The sequence below is a fragment of the Homo sapiens genome, chromosome 5, assembly GCF_000001405.40.
Source record: "Homo sapiens chromosome 5, GRCh38.p14 Primary Assembly".
Taxonomy (NCBI): Eukaryota; Metazoa; Chordata; class Mammalia; order Primates; family Hominidae; genus Homo; species Homo sapiens.
In genome coordinates, this window is record NC_000005.10 from 176048415 (window position 1) to 176068711 (window position 20297).

The following is a 20297-nucleotide window of genomic DNA, read 5'->3' on the forward strand; positions in this document are numbered from 1 at the left end:
ATGTCTCTCTGGGCCCTGATGTTCACTTGTTGTCTGGTATTTACCAAGGCTTGGGCATCCACCTGTTGACTGATGTTCAGCTGGGGCATAGATATTCACATGGGGCCCGAGGGTACACCTGGTGCCTGACGTCTGCCCGGGTCCTAGTAATCCACATGGGCCTGGTGTTTACCAGAAGCCTAATGTTCACCCTGGGCCTCATGTTTACCTGGAGCCTTGGTGTCAACCTGGGGCCAGATATCGACTGGGGGCCTAGTATCCACCTGGAGATGGGATGTCCAGCTGGGTTCTGATGTCCACCTAGGATTGTCCTCATGTGTGGTGGATGAAATTTAGGGCCTGGTGGTGAAATTTAAAACAGAGCCTTAAAAGCTATCGAGCCAAGTGAAGCAAGCAGAGGAAGGTCATTCCATTCCGGCAATGAGAAGAATGTGAGCCCAGTGATGGAGCCATGAACAGCTCAGTATGTGTTGGGATCTGCAAGAGGGAGGTAAGTTGTGGGTGCACTGGAATACCAGACCAGGGACGGGAGGATGCTTTTCAAGCTGCCTTTCGCTTTTTCCTCGAATGTCATAGGAAGTCAGACTTATTCTTTGTAGGTCAGAGTTGAGTGTTACCTAATATCAACGTTTGCAGGAAATGAAGTGGAAACACTTTTCTTAGATAGAAGAGATAGCACTTGCAAAAATTTAGAAATGTGAGGGAACATAAATTGGAAATAATTTTGTTTTTAAAACAAGTAGTTAATAATACTTTACTTTCTATTTATTTATTTATTTATTTATTTTTTGGAGACAGTCTTGCTCTGTCGCCCATGCTGGAATGCAGTGTTGTGATCTTGGTTCACTGCAACCCCTACCTCCCAGGTTCAAGCCATTCTCTGCCTCAGCCTCCTGGGTAGCTGGGATTACAGGCACACACCACCGAGCCTGGCTAATTTTTTTGTATTTTTAGTAGAGACACGGGGTCTTGCCACACTGCCCAGGCTGGTCTCAAATTCCAGAGCACAATGTGATCCTCCCACCTTGGCCTCCCAAAGTGCTGGGATTACAGCCAGGAGTCACTGCACCCAGCCAGGATGTTTATTTTTTAACCTTCTATTTGTCTGATGTCTGGGCTCTATGGGGAGTGGCAAGGGAAAGTGATATACACTTAATGACACAGAGGAGACTTTGACCTAAATGGTGAGACCCTGAAGTGTGAATGCTTTGGAGGAGAATATAGATCAGAAGTTTATGATCAAAGTAATTATTTACAAATAGATATTTTCCATTACTTTATTTTTAATTTACAGTTCTATATAACATTGGAAGTAATATTCTTTATGTACAACTACAATAGATTTTATCCTTTTTCTAATACTTCTGTTCTAGTTACAGAACCATGAATGACCTCTTTGATAACTGGAATGAAAATGTTGTAGCTGCTTATAAGATTTTTTAAAGATAATTCTTTACGACAGCCTTGGGGGGGTGCATGTTGGTGTGAGAGAGGAGTAAGTTAAGGGGATGATATGAATATCAAAGGGAAACTAATGAATAAAGAAGTCCAACCTTAAGATTAGTTTCAGCAGAAGTAATTTTCCACCAAAATTTCAGATTACCTTTTCACTTATATAGGAGTGTGATTAATTAGGGAAGACATTTGTAACACTTGCACTTTTAAAACCATATTTATTATGCAGCATTGCAAAGCAGTCTTTTCTTCCACAGCCCCCAGTCCCAGAACAAAAAAAGTATGGGGGAAAGTACCTCAGAAAACCCAGTCACAATATGCTATATTTGAAAATAGCCATTTTGTGGAGACCTTAGCAGAAATTTGGCCTTGAAGTCATCTGGGGGCATTTTAAAATTCTTACCTGTGTTAGATTCACTAGTTTAGATGTTGATACCATACTACCATAGCCATGCATGTAATGGTGGTAAGCTTTAAGGTTGAATATAGTATATTTACCAGAATTTACCTAGATTTGGCTGATCTTTGAGGAAATGTTTAGATGACGCCAGTTATGATTTCACCCTGTGCTAAAGAACATGTATATGTTTTTGCCATAGGTGTGTTTTCTTTACATTATTTATACAAATAATTTTCTATAATATCTGGGAGCAAACTGGGGAATTTGGCAGTCCAATTGGCAGGTCCCCTCAGATACCCACGGGCTGACGGCATTGGTACCAAGTGACCAGGTTCACAGTGCAGCTTGTGGCTCCAGTCCAACTGGCAGGTGGCTCTTCCTCCACGTCCCAGCTGCCATTTTCATAAAACAATCCGTGGTGTCCCGCTCGGAGACTGGGTTCCTGGCTCTCCCACTCGCATTGCTGTAGCAAGAGATCCATAGAACATATTTTAAAATGTTACTTGCTATTTGCTTAAATGTAGACTTTTCTAGGCTATTTCTTTTCCTTACTCCATTACTGAACAACTCCCTTACTTCCTCCTCCCCCCCAGTATCACTCCCAAGTAAGGGATTGGTTTTAGTCCCAGAACTGAAGTACCCTGAGCTCCATTCGAAGCAGTACTCTACAGAGACCCACATTTTCTTTATATTTTGAATTTAACAAGTTTAGTGAGTAGTTATTTTTGCTGAATTTATGGACCCTTTGTTTTAGATTTGCAAGACAAGAAAAACTTTTACAGACTTCTTACTTAATGTTTTATTATAATGCAGACCTGTACAGTGTTGTATGCTGAAGATACTGGAATGCCTGTGTGCTCTTCTACCGGAGAGTGTCTGATCAGAACTCTTCAGTATGACCAAAGAAACTCAAGTTAGCATTGTCCTGCAGGAAGCTGAGGATCTCTCTCTCTCTAAGTTTTTCTTCTGTATAATTTCTTCTGTGTGCTTTGAGTAGATATAGTGTGATCTTTAAAAAGATCAGGCAAGGCTAGGTGCCGTGGCTCATGCCTGTAATCCCAGAACTTTAGGAGGCCAAGGTGGGCAGATCATCAGGTCAGGAGGTCGAGATTGTCCTGGCCAACATGGTGAAACCCCGTCTCTACTAAAAAATACAAAAAAATTAGCCAGGCATGGTGGTGCACGCCTGTAGTCCCAGCTACTTGGGAGGCTGAGGCAGTGGAACTGGAGGTTGCAGTGAGCCGAAATTGTGCCACTGCACTCCAGCCTGGCAACAAAGCGAGACTCTGTCTCAAAAAACAAAACAAAACAAAAAACAAGGCAGTTCCTCAGAGAGTGGATCCAGGGTCAGAACGAAGAACTTTGTACATGGACACAACAAAATCTTTATAATATCTGACCTACAGAATTCCACTATTGCAATGGATCAGTGACTTCTGTGTTTTTTTCCCATCTTCTATTTTCCAAATGAAAAATTTTACTGGGACTGGGAGGGTTCCAACATAGCCGAATAGGAACAGCTCCAGTCTACAGCTACTAGCATGAGAGAAGCAGAAGACGGGTGACTTCTGCATTTCCAGCTGAGGTACCGGGTTCATCTCACTGGGGCTTGTCGGACAGTGGATGCAGGACAGTGGGTGCAGTGCACTGAGTGTGAGCTGAAGCAGGGCGACGCAACACCTCGCCTGGGAAGCGGGAGGGGTCAGGGAATTCCCTTCCCTAGCCAAGCAAAGCTGTGACAGATGGCACCTGGAAAATCAGGTCACTCCCACCCTAATACTGCACTGTTCCAACACCCTTAGCAAACGGCACACCAGGAGATCATATCCCGCGCTTGGCTCAGAGGGTCCTACACCCACGGAGACTCACTCATTGCTAGCACAGCAGTCTGAGATCAAACTGCAAGGCGGCAGCGAGGCTGGGGGAGGGGCGCCTGCCATTGCTGAGGCTTGAGCAGGTAAACAAAGCATCTGGGAAGCACGAACTGGGTGGAGCCCACCACAGCTCAATGAGGCCTGCCTGCCTCTGTAGACTCCACCTCTGGGGGCAGGACATAGCCAAACAAAAGGCAGCAGAAACCTCTGCAGACTTAAATGTCCCTGTCTGACAGCTTTGAAGACAGCAGTGGTTCTCCCAGCACGCAGTTTGAGATCTGAGAACGGACAGACTGCCTCCTCAAGTGGGTCCCTGACCCCCGAGTAGCCTAACTGGGAGGCACCCCCAAGTAGGGGCAGACTGACACCTCACACAGCCAGGTACCCCTCTAAGACGAAACTTCCAGAGGAACGATCAAACAGCAACATTTGCTGTTCAGCAATATTTGCTGTTCTGCAGCCTCCACTGCTGATAACCAGGCAAACGGTCTGGAGTGGACCTCCAGCAAACTCCAACAGACTTGCAGCTGAGGGTCCTGACTGTTAGAAGGAAAACTAAAAAACAGAAAGGACATCCACACCCAAACCCCATCTGTACGACACCATCATCAAAGACCAAAGGTAGATAAAACCACAAAGATGGGGGAAAAACAGCAGAAAAACTGAAATTCTAAAAATCAGAGCACCTCTCCTCCTCCAAAGGAATGCAGCTCCTCACCAGCAATGGAACAAAGCTGGATGGAGGATGACTATGACGAGTTGAGAGAAGAAGGCTTCAGATGATCAAACTTCTCCAAGCTAAAGGAGGAAGTGCAAACCCATCACAAAGAAGTTAAAAACCTTGAACGAAGATTCAGACGAATGGCTAACTAGAATAACCAATGTAGAGAAGGCCTTAAATGACCTGATGGAGCTGAAAACCATGGCATGAGAACTACGTGACATATGCAAAAGCTTCAGTAGCCGATTTGATCAACTGGAAGAAAGGGTATCACTGATGGAAGATCAAATGAATGAAATGAAGCGAGAAGAGAAGTTTAGAGAAAAAAGAATAAAAAGAAACAAACAAAGCCTCCAAGAAATATGGGACTATGTGAAAAGACCAAATCTATGTCTGATTGGTGTACCTGAAAGTGACGGGGAGAATGGAACCAAGTTGGAAAACACTCTGCAGGATATTATCCAGGAGAACTTCCCCAATCTAGCAAGGCAGGCCAACATTCAAATTCAGGAAATACAGAGAATGCCACAAAGATACTCCTCGAGAAGAGTAACTCCAAGACACATAATTGTCAGATTCACCAAAGCTGAAATGAAGGAAAAAATGTTAAGGGCAGCCAGAGAGAAAGGTCAGGTTACTCACAAAGGGAAGCCCATCAGACTAACAGCTGGTCTCTCGGCAGAAACTCTACAAGCCAGAAGAGAGTGGGGGCCAATATTCAACATTCTTAAAGAAAAGAATTTTCAACCCAGAATTTCATATCCAGCCAAACTAAGCTTCATAAGTGAAGGAGAAATAAAATCCTTTACAGACAAGCAAATGCTGAGAGATTTTGTCACCACCAGGCCTGCCCTACAAGAGCTCCTGAAGGAAGCACTAAACATGGAAAGGAACAACCGGTACCAGCCACTGCAAAACCATGCCAAATTGTAAAGACCATCAAGGCTAGGAAGAAACTGCGTCAACTAACGAGCAAAATAACCAGCTAACATCATAACGACAGGATCAAATTCACACATAACAATATTAACCTTAAATGTAAATGGGCTAAATGCTCCAATTAAAAGACACAGACTGGCAAATTGGATAAAGAGTCAAGACCCATCAGTGTGCTATATTCAGGAAACCCATCTCACGTGCAGAGACACACATAGGCTCAGAATAAAGGGATGGAGGAAGATCTACCAAGCAAATGGAAAACAAAAAAAGGCAGGGGTTGCAATCCTAATCTCTGATAAAACAGACTTTAAACCAACAAAGATCAAAATAGACAAAGAAGGCCATTACATAATGGTAAAGGGATCAATTCAACAAGAACAGCTAACTAACCTAAATATATATGCACCCAATACAGGAGCCCCCAGATTCATAAAGCAAGTCCTTAGAGACCTACAAAGAGACTTAGACTCCCACACAATAATAATGGGAGACTGTAACACCCCACTGTCAACATTAGACAGATCCACGAGACAGAAAGTTAACAAGGATATCCAGGAATTGAACTCAGCTCTGCACCAAGCAGACCTAATAGACATCTACAGAACTCTCCACCCCAAATCAACAGAATATACGTTCTTCTCAGCACCACATTGCACTTATTCCAAAATTGACCACATAGTTGGAAGTAAAGCACTCCTCAGCAAATGTAAAAGAACAGAAATTATAACAAACTGTCTCTTAGACCACAGTGCAATCAAACTAGAACTCAGGATTAAGAAACTCACTCAAAACCACTCAACTACATGGAAACTGAACAACCTGCTCCTGAATGACTACTGGCTACATAACAAAATGAAGGCAGAAATAAAGATCTTCTTTGAAACCAACGAGAACAAAGACACAACATACCAGAATCTCTGGGACACATTTAAAGCAGTGTGTTAGAGGGAAATTTATAGCACTAAATGCCCACAAGAGAAAGCAGGAAAGATCTAAAATTAACACCCTAACATCACAATTAAAAGAACTACAGAAGCAAGAGGAAACACATTCAAAAGCTAGCAGAAGGTGAGAAATAACTAAGATCAGAGCAGAACTGAAGGAAACAGAGACACAAAAAGCCCTTCAAAAAATCAATGAATCCAGGAGCTGGTTTTTTGAAAAGATCAACAAAATTGATAGACTGCTAGCAAGACTAACAAGAAAAGAGATAAGAATCAAATAGAGGCAATAAAAAATGATAAAGGGGAGATCACCACCGATCCCACAGAAATACAAACTACCATCAGAGAATACTATAAACACTGCTACACAAACAAACTAGAAAATCTAGAAATGGATAAAGTCCTTGATACATACAACCTCACAAGACTAAACCAGGAGGAAGTTGAATATCTGAACAGACCAACAGGCTCTGAAATTGAGGCAATAATTAATAGCTTACCAACCAAAAAAAGTCCAGGACCAGACGGATTCACAGCTGAATTCTACCAGAGGTACAAGGAGGAGCTGGTACCATTCCTTCTGAAACTATTCCAATCAATAGAAAAAGAGAGAATCCTCCCTAATTCATTTTATGAGGCCAGCATCATCCTGATACCAAAGCCTGGCAGAGACACAACAAAAAAAGAGAATTTTAGACCCATATCCCTGATGAACATCGATGCAGAAATCCTCAATAAAATACTGGCAAACCGAATCCAGCAGCACATCAAAAAGCTTATCCAACACGATCAAGTGGGCTTCATCCCTGGGATGCAAGGCTGGTTCAACATACGCAAATCAATAAATGTAATCCAGCATATAAACAGAACCAAAGACAAAAACCACATGATTATCTCAATAGATGCAGAAAAGGCCTTTGGCAAAATTCAACAGCCCTTCATGCTAAAAACTCTCAATAAATTAGTTATTGATGGGACGTATCTCAAAATAATAAGAGCTATGTATGACAAACCCACAGCCAATATCATACTGAATGGGCAAAAACTGGAAGCATTCCCTTTGAAAACTGGCACAAGACAGGGATGCCCTCTCTCACCACTCCTCTTCAACATAGTGTTGGAAGTTCTGGCCAGGGCAATCAGGCAGGAGAAGGAAATAAAGGGTATTCAATTAGGAAAAGAGGAAGTCAAATTGTCCCTGTTTGCAAATGACATGATTGTATAGCTAGAAAACCCCATCGTCTCAGCCCAAAATCTCCTTAAGCTGATAAGTAACTCCAGCAAAGTCTCAGGATTCAAAATCAATGTACAAAAATCACAAGCATTCTTATACACCAATAACAGACAAACAGAGAGCCAAATCATGAGTGAACTCCCATTCACAGTTGCTTCAAAGGGAATAAAATACCTAGGAATCCAACTTCCAAGGGATGTGAAGGATCTCCTCAAGGAGAACTACAAACCACTGCTCAATGAAATAAAAGAGGATACGAACAAATGGAAGAACATTCCATGCTCATGGGTAGAAAGAATCAATATCATGAAAATGGCCATACTGCCCAAGGTAATTTATAGATTCAATGCCATCCCCATCAAGCTACCAATGACTTTCTTCACTGAATTGGAAAAAACTACTTTAAAGTTCATATGGAACCAAAAAAGAGCCCGCATTGCCAAGTCAATCCTAAGCCAAAAGAACAAAGCTGGAGGCATCACGCTTCCTGACTTCAAACTATACTACAAGGCTACAGTAACCAAAACGGCATGGTACTGGTACCAAAACAGAGATATAGACCAATGGAACAGAACAGAGCCCTCAGAAATAATGCCACATATCTACAACTATCTGATCTTTGACAAACCTGACAAAAACAAGAAATGGGGAAAGGATTCCCTATATAATAAATGGTGCTGGGAAAACTGGCTAGGCATATGTAGAAAGCTGAAACTGGATCCCTTCCTTACACCTTTTACAAAAATTAATTCAAGATGCATTAAAGACTTAAATGTTAGACCTAAAACCATAAAAACCCTAGAAGAAAACCTAGGCAATACCATTCAGGACATAGGCATGGGCAAGGACTTCCTGTCTAAAACACCAAAAGCAATGGCAACAAAAGCCAAAATTGACAAATGGGATCTAATTGAACTAAAGAGCTCCTTCTGCACAGCAAAAAAACTACCATCAGAGTGAACAGGCAACCTACAGAATGGGAGAAAATTTTTGCAATCTACTCACCTGACTAAAGGGCTGATACCCAGAATCTACAAAGAACTCAAACAAATTTACAAGAAAAAAATCAAACAACCCCATCAAAAAGTAGGCGAAGGATATGAACAGACACTTCTCAAAAGAAGACATTTATGCAGCCAACAGACACATGAAAAAATGCTCATCATCACTGGCCATCAGAGAAATGCAAATCAAAACCACAATGACATACCATCTTACACCAGTTAGAATGGTGATCATTAAAAAGTCAGGAAACGACAGGTGCTGGAGAGGATGTGGAGAAATAGGAACACTTACACTGTTGGTGGGACTGTAAACTAGTTCAACCATTGTGGAAGAGAGAGTGGCGATTCCTCAGGGATCTAGAACTAGAAATACCATTTGACCCAGCCATCCCATTACTGAGTATATACCCAGAGGATTATAAGTCATGTTGCTATAAAGACATGCACACGTATGTTTATTGTGGCACTATTCACAATAGCAAAGACTTGGAACCAACCCAAATGTCCAACAATGATAGACTGGATTAAGAAAATGTGGCACATATACACCATGGAATACTATGCAGCCATAAAAAATGATGAGTTCATGTCCTTTGTAGGGACATGGATGAAGCTGGAAACCATCATTCTCAACAAACTCTCGGAAGGACAAAAAACCAAACACTGCATGTTCTCACTCATAGGTGGTAATTGAACAATGAGAACACATGCACACAGGAAGGGGAGCATCGCAGACCAGGGCCTGTTGTGGGGTGGGGGGAGGGATAGCATTAGGAGATATACCTAATGTAAATGATGAGTTAATGGGTGCAGCACACCAACATGGCACATGTATACATATGTAACAAACCTGCACGTTGTGCACATGTACCCTAGAACTTAAAGTATAATAAAAATATATATATATATAAATTTTATTGGGACTATTTTGATTCTACACCACTATTCTTTATTGGGTGTAACCCAGCAGGTCCACAAATAATTATTATTATTATTATTACCTTTTTTTTTGAGATGGAGTGTCACTCTTGTCACCTGGGCTAGAGTGCAGATGCGCAAAAGAGTGAGACTCTGTCTCAAAATAAATAAATAAAATAAAAACAGGAAAATACATTTGTTGACCTCCTGGGTTGTGCCCAATAAAGAATAGTGGAGTTTAATAGCGGTTCACTGCAACCTCCACCTCCCAGCTTAAAGCGATTCTTCTCCCTCAGTCTCCCAAGTAGCTGGGATTACGGCACCCACCACCATACTCAGCTAATTTTTGTATTTTTAGTAGAGACAGGTTTCACCATGTTGGCCAGGCTGGTCTCAAACTCCTGACCTCAGGTGATCCGCCCACATTGTCCTCCCAAAGTGCTAGATTACAGGCATGAACCACCACGTCCGGCCTAACAAATGATTTTTCATAGGTCACTGGACATCAAGGAGCCACTTGTGAACCAGGTGGAATGCAGGTGGGATGCATAGCACATGGCCCACAGGACCTGCACTGTGGGTTGGATACAGTAACGGAAGGGGCCTTTGGTCTTTCTTTTTTTTTTTTTTTTTTTTTTTTTGAGAGAGAGTCTTGTTCTGTTCCCCAGGCTGGAGTGCAGTGGCGTGATCTCGGCTCACTGCAAACTGCGCCTCCCGGGTTCACGCCATTTTCCTGCCTCAGCCTCCAGAGTAGCTGCTGGGACTACAGGTGCCCACCACCACGCCTGGCTAATTTTTTGTATTTTTAGTTGAGACGGGGTTTCACCGTGTTAGCCAGGATGGTTTCGATCCCCTGACCTCGTGATCCACCCGCCTCGGCCTCCCAAAGTGCTGGGATTACAGGCGTGAGTCACCGCGCCTGGCAAGGGACTTTGGTCTTTCTTGCTTGGGGCTGGGATGAGTGTGTCCTGTGTGAGAAGAAGGAGGCACAAGGCAGATTGGGTGGCCACAGCTGTAACCTGGAGCCACAGAGCGGGCTTCTGTTACACACTATTCTTCTTTTCTTCACTTTAACAGAACCATCCCTTGAGGTTTAGCTGGGGGCACCTGGCTGCCCAGCTACAGACTAGATTTTCCAGACTAATTTATATCAATTTTCTTTATTCTTTTAAAAGTTGTTTATTTATTGCACTTACATACTAAGATACCATTCTCAAAGGACCACGAAAGCAGAAATGGTTAATATATGAAGCTGTCTATAGGCATGATAGAATAAAAAGTTTAAAAATTATTTGGGTCGGGCTTAAATAACTTTAACAGGTTAAAAAAGTGTTTGACAATATTCAACAAATAATTCTTCACCTAATTTCTTATTGAAGCAATCACCTTAATATTCATTGGCCTTGATAAATGTGAACACTGGTCATATTTATGTAAATAATGGTCATGTGGCTTTCTTGGCATATCTAAATTCATGTTAGATCTGGCTTAACCTGTGCTTATGTATGTATATGTTACAGTTATGTACATTAAATGTGTGTGTAAGAGTTGGAATTATTTGAAAGATAGCAAAATTTTAACTAGAAAAAATAAGTTAATATCTAATAATAGTTGACTTGTTGATTAAAATAAGTAGTTATTATGAAAGAGAAAAAAGGTGATTTCAAATTGATTCAGAAGAACTGGCCTAGCAACTAAGATTGTATGCTTTCCTTTTTTTAAAAAAAAAAAAAGAACGGATATAATGTTATGTGACAATTAAATACAGAAATTACAAAACTAGTTAAATTGATGTTGCCATTAAAGCAACATTAAATAGTTTTGGGGGAGAAGAAAGAAGCCGAGAAGATGGTATCTGTGCAGTTAAGATGGTCATGTCATTTGATACATGTAAACAGAAAGCAGCCTGAGGCCCACACCTGCACCATGCTGAAAGAGCTGACCAGCGTTATATGTTCAGTCCTAGATGAAGTGCTGCATTTGTTTTTTAAACACTGGTATGCATTGTTTTAAAAATGTATAAAATAACAGTGAAAAGTTAAAGAATCGTAAGAATGTAGCTAAAGGTAAAAAAATTTTGCAAAGCCATAATTTTTATGATGAAACAATGTATTTTTTATCTTTTACGTATAATGTTTTAATGCTTTTTTAGCCCAATGAAATGTGGAAGTGTTTTGTGATTTTTATCTTACTATAGTGATTGTTTTATAAACAAAGAAAAAATTAATTCAGGATTGCAGATATGGTAAACTATTAAAATAGTTTGGGTATTAAAATATGAAATAATTGGGTATTAATTCAAAATCCAAGAGTTGCCATTGAACAAACCTGTAGGCATAGGTAAGTGCTGAGGTGAAAGTGCCAACCAAAGCCGTTAGATTGAACATTTATGCCTGGAGGGAATCAGTAGAGGAACTGGCTGTGGACCTTCACCTCTGCATCCCCTTTGCTTTCTGCTGTAGCTGGGTATCACAAAAACAACAACAAAAGCCACTTATTTCTTAAAGACAGAGAAAGGATAGTTCCTTCCATTTAGGCATTCCTAAATTGCCTCCCCGGTGGCCCCTGCGCTCTTGGAGGAGGTCAAGGCAGAGCAGACCCTCAGGTGGGTGAGCGATGCACTTGACCCTGAGGACATCAGGTACCAGGCCCACTAGCCCCCGCAGGCGCGGAGCTGCGGCTGCAGCCACCAGCCTAGACGTGGCGCGCCCGCAGCAAGTGGCTGGACACCGCAGACCAGGCCCGCGTCCCCAGCAGCGCGGATCCCGGGGCCAGCCGCCCAGGCAGCAAAGTCAGGCGGTCGGCTTCGCCAGCAGCCGATGAGTCTCATCCTGTGGATTGCCCAGCGCCAGGGATCAGGATCCGGAGAGGTGTCCAGGAGGAGCAGACCCTCAGACCAGGTAGGCTGTGCACTCGGTGACCCTGACGCCATCCAAGGGAAGCTCCGCCATCCCGCGCCAGTGCCTGAGCTGCAACTGCAAACTGCGCGTCCTGGCACGAGCAGCGGTGGGGGCGGGTGGGGGAAGGAGCGAGTGACTCTCCAGGCGTCTTCCGCTACCTGACACCAGCCAGGCAGCCCCCAGGGCCAGAGCGTCAGCGCCGAAGCCAGGCTCATCCGGGAAGCCACTCCGGTGGCCGCGGGGTGCCCATGCCAGCACCAGATCTCTCTTCGGAAGGAGGAGCGGGGCGGGCTACACGGCCAGGCGGGCCCTCCCCTTAAGGCGGGGTGGGCCGCGCGCCTGCGATTTTCCGTCCGTGGTCCTGGGGCAGCCCGGGCCAGCCAGGAGAACCCGCGAGCCCAGCGGCGCCTGCACCTGCGGCTTCCGGGAGCCGGGCGGCTTTGCGAGGCTCACTAGGTCTGAGAGGTCGGAGGCCGCCAGTGTCGCTGCTGAAGGGTGGACCAGGCGGGATCGCGGATTCTGGGCTAGATCGCAGACTTGGTATCGCGGATTGGGATTTGGATCGGGGATTTTGAGTTGGATCACGGATTGGGGGTTGGATCGCGGATTGGGGGTTGGATCGCGGATTGGGGGTTGGATCGCGGATTGGGGGTTGGATCGCGGATTGGGAGTTGGATCGCGGATTGGGGGTTGGATCGCGGATTGGGGGTTGGATCGCGGATTGGGGTTTGGATCGCGGATTGGAGGTTGGATCGCGGATTGGGGGTTGGATAGGGGATTTGGAGTTGGATTGGGGATTTGGGGCTGGGTGTGGGGCGAGGGGGAGTGAAAAGGTGACACGGAGCTGCCGCGGCTCAGGAGCCAGTGGTTGGGGGTCTGAGAAGAACTCACCACCTTGAAGAAGTTCTTCGGCTTTGGGAGCCGCAGGGGCCGGCGGTCCGGGGCTCCCTAGGCCACGTCTACAGGGGTTCGGGGTACCGAATCGGAAGATCCACAGGGCGCTGTCAAGGGCGAAGCCGCGGAAGTGGAGCGCTGCCTGGAGCGCAGGAGCAGAGACCTGGAAGCCGGGGACAGGCAGCACAGGCAGTGGGGTGGGGGCTCAGCCCAGGGTGGGAGGGGGTCCCCAGGCCCGGCTTCCCCGCAGCCCCTGGGATGGGGCCTCGGAGGGCACCCTCAGAGGGGTGGTGCCAAACGGAGCCTCAGCTGCTCTGCATCCCCCATAATTCCCCAGCTGGAGCGCTTGGTGGAGAATGTGAGTGATTTAACTCACCAAGCTAAGCATACACAGTGTTATTTTTAACCTACACGTTTAAAACATGGTGTTATACACATTATAGGAGGTGCCTAATGAGAGAACTCATTCCTCTATCAAAAAATACCGTGAGTCGGCCGGGCGCGGTGGCTCAGGCCTGTAATCCTAGCACTTTGGGAGGCCGAGGCGGGCGGATCACCAGGTCAAGAGATCGAGACCATCCTGGCTAACACGGTGAAACCCCGTCTCTACTAAAAATACAAAAAAAAAAAAAAAAGATTAGCCGGGCGTGGTGGCGGGCGCCTGTAGTCCCAGCTACTCGGGAGGCTGAGGCAGGAGAATGGCGTGAACCCGGGAGGCGCAGCTTGCAGTGAGCCGAGATGGTGCCACTGCACTCCAGCCTTGGCAACAGAGTGAGACTCCATCTCCAAAAAGAAAAACAAACAAACAAACAAAAAACCGTGAGTCATTTTCAGTAGCGAAAAGCTCTCACCTAAAACTGTCCGTTTTACATCCGTATCCACCTGTGTAGATCGGTTCTTTACTGAAGGTTCTTAGAAGGAAACTTGGAAGTGGGAGGTGGGTTCTGTGTTCCTGAATGGGAAGACACATTTTTCTCAAAATGTGAGCTCTTTCTGTGATTATCAATTTTACATAAGCCGAATGAAAAAATCAAGGTTTTAACATTTTTGCATGACACCTACTGTCTTTTACTATTGTAATGACATTTGTAAAAATTTTAGGGCTGGGCGCGGTGGCTCACGCCTGTAATCCCCGCACTTTGGGAGGCCGAGGTGGGCGGATCACGAGGTCAGGAGATTGAGATTGAGACCATCCTGGCAAACACGGTGAAACCCTGTCTGTACTAAAAATACAAAAAAAAAAAAAAAAAATAGCCGGGCGTGGTGGTGGGCGCCCATAGTCCCAGCTACTCCGGAGGCTGAGGCAGGAGAATGCTGTGAACCCGGGAGGGGGAGCTTGCAGTGAGCCGCCATCCAGAAGTGCTGGGATTACAGGTGTGAGCCACCGCGCCCGGCCTGAAAAGTGCATCTTCATTTTACAGGGAATTCTTTCAAATCAAATAATCAAAAACTGTAAAAGGGGGCAAAGTACTTTTTTGCAGATCTACAAGTTTCTTATGTAAATAGGAAAAAAAGCCTTTGCTTTTCTGGTATAAGAATTTAAATTAAAAGAGGAATGAAACTGTTTTCTATCCACAATGTGTGAGGATGTTTTTTATACTGCTGCCTGAAGTTTAAGTTGCTGATTACTTTTTAAATAGATAATTTGGTGGTAAGTACTATATTTTAAAAATGCGTATGCCCGTTACCCTTCAATTCCATTATACTAAAATACCCTTGGGAAATAGAGATACATGCACTTTGTTTTTCACAGCACTTATTTTAAAAAGAACCCATAGAATGGATCTTATAAGTAAATTTCAGTTGCATCCATAGGATGCAATAATATGTGACCATCAAAGGTGACAATAGATATAGAAGTACGTTGATGTGCGAAGATGTATTTTGTTTTAGCCAGCGAGGAAAAAAGAATCAGTTTGATTATACATTTACCAAACATTAAGAATTTAATATGGTAACTTTTATTTCAGTATTAAAATAGCAATTTTATTTATTACTTTTTTATATACAGAATTCGACACCAAATTTTGGAACTTAAAAAGAAGATTCTTAAAACTTACAATCCAGGTAAGACTTCTGATAGTGAATTTCTCATTTCTCATGGTGGTCCTACTCTTGGTTTAAAAAAATTAAGATGTAAGATTAAGGTAGTTTTGAAGGAAAAGAAAAGTTTAAAAAGATGTGTAAATTGCATGTATATATACATATATACATACATGTAAATTAGTTTCTTATATTTAACTTCTTTAGTTTGGAATTAAGAGTTATTTAAGAAGGTAGTTGTAGCTGATTTATAATCTCAAACAGTATTATCTGAAAAAAAAAATCATTTACTTAATTATGATCCTGAAAATCCTATATAATATTTATGTTTTCTCTATAGTCACATTGTAACAAATTGGACTTGTTATACATATGGATCTTCTAGTTCATTTTTGTAATAAGTTGTTTATTTTTATAATAAATTGTTTATATTTAGTAAATACATAATTACACTTGACCCATGAATAATGTGGGGGTTAGGGGCTCTGATTCCAGTGCAGCTGAAAATCTAAGTATAACTTTTGATTTTCCCAATTTAGCTACTAATAGCCCACTATTGACTGGAAGCCTTCCTGATAACATAAACGGTCGATTAATACCTATTTTATTTGTGCTGCATTATTATATACTGTGTTCTTACAATAAAGTAAGCTAGACAAGTGAAGCTGTTAGAAAGAAAATCTGCAGGAAAAATATATTGACTTTTCATAAAGCGTAAATGGATCCTCACAAAGGTCTTCATCTTTATCATCTTCAGGTTGTTCAGGCTGAGAAGGAAGAGAGGTTGGTCTTGCTGTCTCTGGGTTGCAGAGGCAGAAGAAAATCTGCATATAAATGAACTCCTGCAGTTCAAACCCTTGCTGTTCAAGGGTGAACTGTATTACCTGTTAATTTGTGTCACTAAGGAAGTATCTTTAGAACCGGGAACTCAACAATCCCTTTCTCGTAGAATAAATAAATGGCAGTAAGAACTGTAAAAGTGAACCAGTGTGCACCCATACGAATAGGAGATTATTGTTTGAAGATACCTACTGAGTGCAGAAAACAGAAAAGCAATTCCTTTGTGAGAAGCACAAGTTATGTTACATATTCTTACATAAGCAAAATGGTTTTATCTGTCATAGTTTACACACACACGTGCACATACACACATGTGCGTTCGGGTGCGCACACACACACATGCACACAAAGTTAAAAGTCCTGCTGATTGTTAATGACCAAATCCACTGCTTGCAGGGAGTAGTGGATAACACAGCCTACAGCTTGGATGCAATTCTTTTGGCTTTTTGACTTGTTCTGTGATGAACTGCCTTGAATGGGTCAACCATGTTTTAGTCTTATGAGAAATGAAAAGATTAGGGGCAAGTAAAAGGAACTCTATGATCAGTAGTTATACTATTATACTATATTCAATGGTTATGTTTTTTTCCAGTTATACAAGTTACTTGAATGATGCACAATTAATTTATTATCATTATTATAAGAGATGGGCTCTCTCTATGTTGCCCAGGCTAGAATATTGTGTCTATTCAGTGGTACAGTCATAGCTCACTGTAGCCTGGAACTTCTGGGCTCAAGCAGTCGTCCCACCTCATCCTCCTGAGTAGCTGGGATTGTAGCTATGTGTAGTTACATCTAGCTGGATACACAATCATTTGTTTATTTATTTATTCATTTTTATTATTATTATTTTTTGAGACAGGTCCCCCTCTGTTGCCAGTACTGGAGTGCAGTGGTGGGATCTATCTTGGCTCCCTGCAACTTCTGCTTTCTGGCCTTAAATGATTCTTTCACCTCAGCCTCCCGAGTAGCTGGGACTACAGGCATGCCCCACCACGCTTGGCTAATTTTCCTTTTAAGGTTTTTTTTTCCTCACTATATTGCCCAGGCTGGTCTGGAAGTCTGGAACTTCTGGGCTCAAGTGATCCTCCTGCTTCGGCCTCCCAAAATGCTAGGATTTTACGGATGTGAGCCACCACACCTGGCCTGCACAATTATTATAAAAAGGAATTAAGCCCAGTTGAGTTGCAGAAAATTGACCACCTTTTCATTTTTTGTTTCTAGAAACATTCATATTGTAGAACATATTGTCAATCATCAAGATTCCCTATTTTTTATTCTGGTAAAACTAGGATTGCTGCTTATTTCCCATTATTTTCTAACAATTGCTTCACTTATTTCTTTTATGGCTTTAATCAGTTGAGTATAGAAATACAAGAACCTCCAAGTCAAATATCAAGGAAAGAAAAGAAAAACAGATTAGGGAAAGTTATTCTGTGAAATAACCATCTGATTATAGGTCATGTCAACTTAATAAAAACCTTATATAATGCATTTGTGACAAGGGTTCCCAAGACCACCCCCAGGTTTGGTGATTCACTAGAAGGACTCACAGGATTCAGCAAATAATCATATTCAGATCTTTAATTGATTACAATGAAAGGGTACAAGCAAAATGAGAGGGAAAAGGTGCATGTGGTGGTCAAGTCTGGAGGAAACCAGGCACAAGCTTCCAGAAGTTCTCTCCTGTGGAGTTCCCAGGATCTGCTTAATTCCCCCAGCCTCACATTTTGACAACCCATGTGCAGTGATGTCTACCAGTACCAGAATCTCATTAGAGACTCAGTACCCAAGTGTTTTTTATGGAGGTTACTCTCCCTCACATGTACCCACATTCCGACCTTCAGAAGGAAAGCAGCTGCTCAGAAGTAACCGCATTGTTTCTATAAACACTTTAGACACAGTGACCAGTCTTAGGGCATGGTGGGAACCCTCCCAATTCCAATTTCCTAAACAACAGCCAAGGGCCAGGCTTGCATGCGGGTCTTTCTGAGGACGGCAGTCTCTCTCCTGCTATATGAAATCTTTCCTGCACAACAGTTTTAGCCCCAACTTAACTTTTGGTGCTGTTTTAAAATTTCATTTTAACAGCAAATAATATTATAAGATAAGGTAACCTGGTGCTAGTTTCTGTTGCATGATCCATCCTGTGTTGCAATGCTGGCTACCTTTTTGACTTCTGGTGACTCACAGGTATTTGAATGGAAGTTACCATAGCAATATTAAGCAATTATAATCTGTCCTTCTTATCTCTTTAACCTTTCAGTGAAAGTGTTAAATTGAATAAGCATAATAATTTCTGAGTTAAAATTAGAATAAAAATGGTCTTTTATTTTGATTATGTGAATCTAGTTTTCATGTCGTGCTAAATCCCTGTTTAGAGTTATGAAATAAGATATTCAATCATTTTATCAATATTTTCTTGCCTAAGCTTGCAATTGAATCTATTTGTTTTATGTATTTTCTATACTGCGATTTGAGAAATCATGCCCACATGCTGTTACTTTGGTCTTTAATGATCTCCAATTTTTAGGGTTACCACTGTGTCCTGCTTAAATATATCATAATAACAGATTCAGTGAATATCTTTTATTTTTTATTTTTGTTCTGGAAATCCTGGGATGCATAGACAATGAATATGTTTTTTAAATCAGTAACTCTATTTCTTATAGCAGTTTTAGGTTCACAGCAAAATCGGAGGAAGGTACAGAGATTTCTCCTATGTTCCATGCCTCCCACACATGCATGGCCTCCCCCATGATTAGTATTTTCCACCAGAGTGGTACATTTGTTACAACTGATGATCCTACATTGACACATTATAATCACTCAAAGTTCATAGTTGACATCAGGCTCCATTCTTAATACTGTACATTCTGTGAATTTGGACAAATGTATAATGACATGTGTCTATTTATTATAGATAGAACAGTTTCACTGCCCTAAAAATGCTCTATTCTCTGCCTGTTCATCTCTCCCTTTCTCCCTAGCAGCTGCTGGAAACCACTGATCTTTTATCTGTCTTCATAGTTTTACTTTTTTCAGGAGAGTCATATAGTTGAAATAATACAATGGATATCTTTTTGAATAGTTAAAAAAGTAAAGTTCCATGGTAATTGAATGTAGTCATTTAAGATGTTCTTTGTCCTTTTGTTTTTCTTTAGCTTCTTTGTCTTTGTAAGGTCTGATGACATATGCTTTACATACTTAGGAAACATGATTTGTATAGGCCTTTGCCACATAATGGAAAGGGTTGAGGAAAATGACACCATGCAATACCACACAGCACAAACTGGAGCATCTTGCTCCAGTGAGGTGGGTCCAGATAGACTCCCTAGCAATGGAAGGGGAGAAGCTCAAGAGGTTGTACTTTAAAAAACTGGAATCACAAAGTCTTTCATACTTACCTTGGGTTGGAAATAAGACCAGGCAGTGAATGTTATAGATAAATACATATGTTCCTCACTGATCCTCTTCCTTTGAGGGATGACTTTGAAAACAGTCTGTGTTATGATGACATGACTCACCTGCAACTAGATTCTGTGTCATGAGGGACGGCAGTTTTGCTTTGTGTGAGGTGAAAAAGAATTTTTTTCTCCTACTAGGGAAAGGGGCAAGCATTGGAACATTCTGGCAGCAAGAGGGCATTGATAGTTTTCTTTCTGTATATTTTTCATATCATATAGTACTGCCTGGCAGCCTGGCATACCACGCCGGTGTTTCTTAAGCTTCTCTCTGAATGTGAGGCGTGGTTCCGAGTGGATAAGCTCTTAAAGGAGTGATCTTTCCAGTGGTTCTTTCTGTGGGAGGTAAAATGGCAGGTGAATTTGGGCCTTGTTATACGTGGGGCAGAGTATATAGCTACAACTAAGGAAACCACCCAGCACCTTCCCCAGAAGAGTAGTATCCAGAGTAACACATTGAGCTCTCTTGAGCTCTTCTCCACTGGCAGCTGGAAAGTTTTTGCAAGGATCCCTGTTGCTGGTCTGATTCCTATGTTCTGCTGGCTGCTGGTGATAGGGTGTTTTATTCTAAACTGAAAAGTTTTAACTGAAGAGCTAGAGAGGCTGTGTTGTGTTACAACAAAATAAGTGCAGTAGTTCCCCATTAACTATGGGAGATAACATTCTA

General features: G+C 42.4%; 1 long non-coding RNA gene and 1 pseudogene across 2 annotated transcripts in view, besides 3 other annotated features; one reads left to right on the top strand and one right to left on the bottom strand.

Annotated features, from left to right (window-relative positions):
* Positions 1–1263: 1263 nt before the first annotated feature.
* LOC100996385 (uncharacterized) lies at positions 1264–13641 on the bottom strand. The gene is made up of 3 exons (NR_103794.1): positions 13281–13641; positions 11818–11951; positions 1264–2318 (listed from the first exon to the last, which is right to left on the bottom strand). It is a non-coding gene; the product is annotated as an uncharacterized LOC100996385 (long non-coding RNA).
* Positions 3235–3735: an enhancer, noted in NCBI's record as "H3K4me1 hESC enhancer chr5:175478652-175479152 (GRCh37/hg19 assembly coordinates)". NCBI's record gives its function as "activates a minimal SCP1, AML or CMV promoter by ChIP-STARR-seq in naive H9 embryonic stem cells {active_cell/tissue: H9 hESC(naive)}" and the evidence as "EXISTENCE:reporter gene assay evidence [ECO:0000049][PMID:30033119]".
* Positions 3736–4236: an enhancer, noted in NCBI's record as "H3K4me1 hESC enhancer chr5:175479153-175479653 (GRCh37/hg19 assembly coordinates)". NCBI's record gives its function as "activates a minimal SCP1, AML or CMV promoter by ChIP-STARR-seq in naive H9 embryonic stem cells {active_cell/tissue: H9 hESC(naive)}" and the evidence as "EXISTENCE:reporter gene assay evidence [ECO:0000049][PMID:30033119]".
* Positions 13642–14640: 999 nt separating the features above from the next.
* FAM153B (family with sequence similarity 153 member B) overlaps positions 14641–20297 on the top strand; it is a 64088-nt pseudogene continuing 58431 nt past the window's right edge. Inside the window, exon 1 of the transcript NR_169299.1 lies at positions 14641–15350. The product of NR_169299.1 is annotated as a family with sequence similarity 153 member B (transcript). The remainder of the gene's footprint in view (positions 15351–20297) is intronic.
* Positions 15865–16482: an enhancer, noted in NCBI's record as "OCT4-NANOG hESC enhancer chr5:175491282-175491899 (GRCh37/hg19 assembly coordinates)". NCBI's record gives its function as "activates a minimal SCP1, AML or CMV promoter by ChIP-STARR-seq in naive H9 embryonic stem cells {active_cell/tissue: H9 hESC(naive)}" and the evidence as "EXISTENCE:reporter gene assay evidence [ECO:0000049][PMID:30033119]".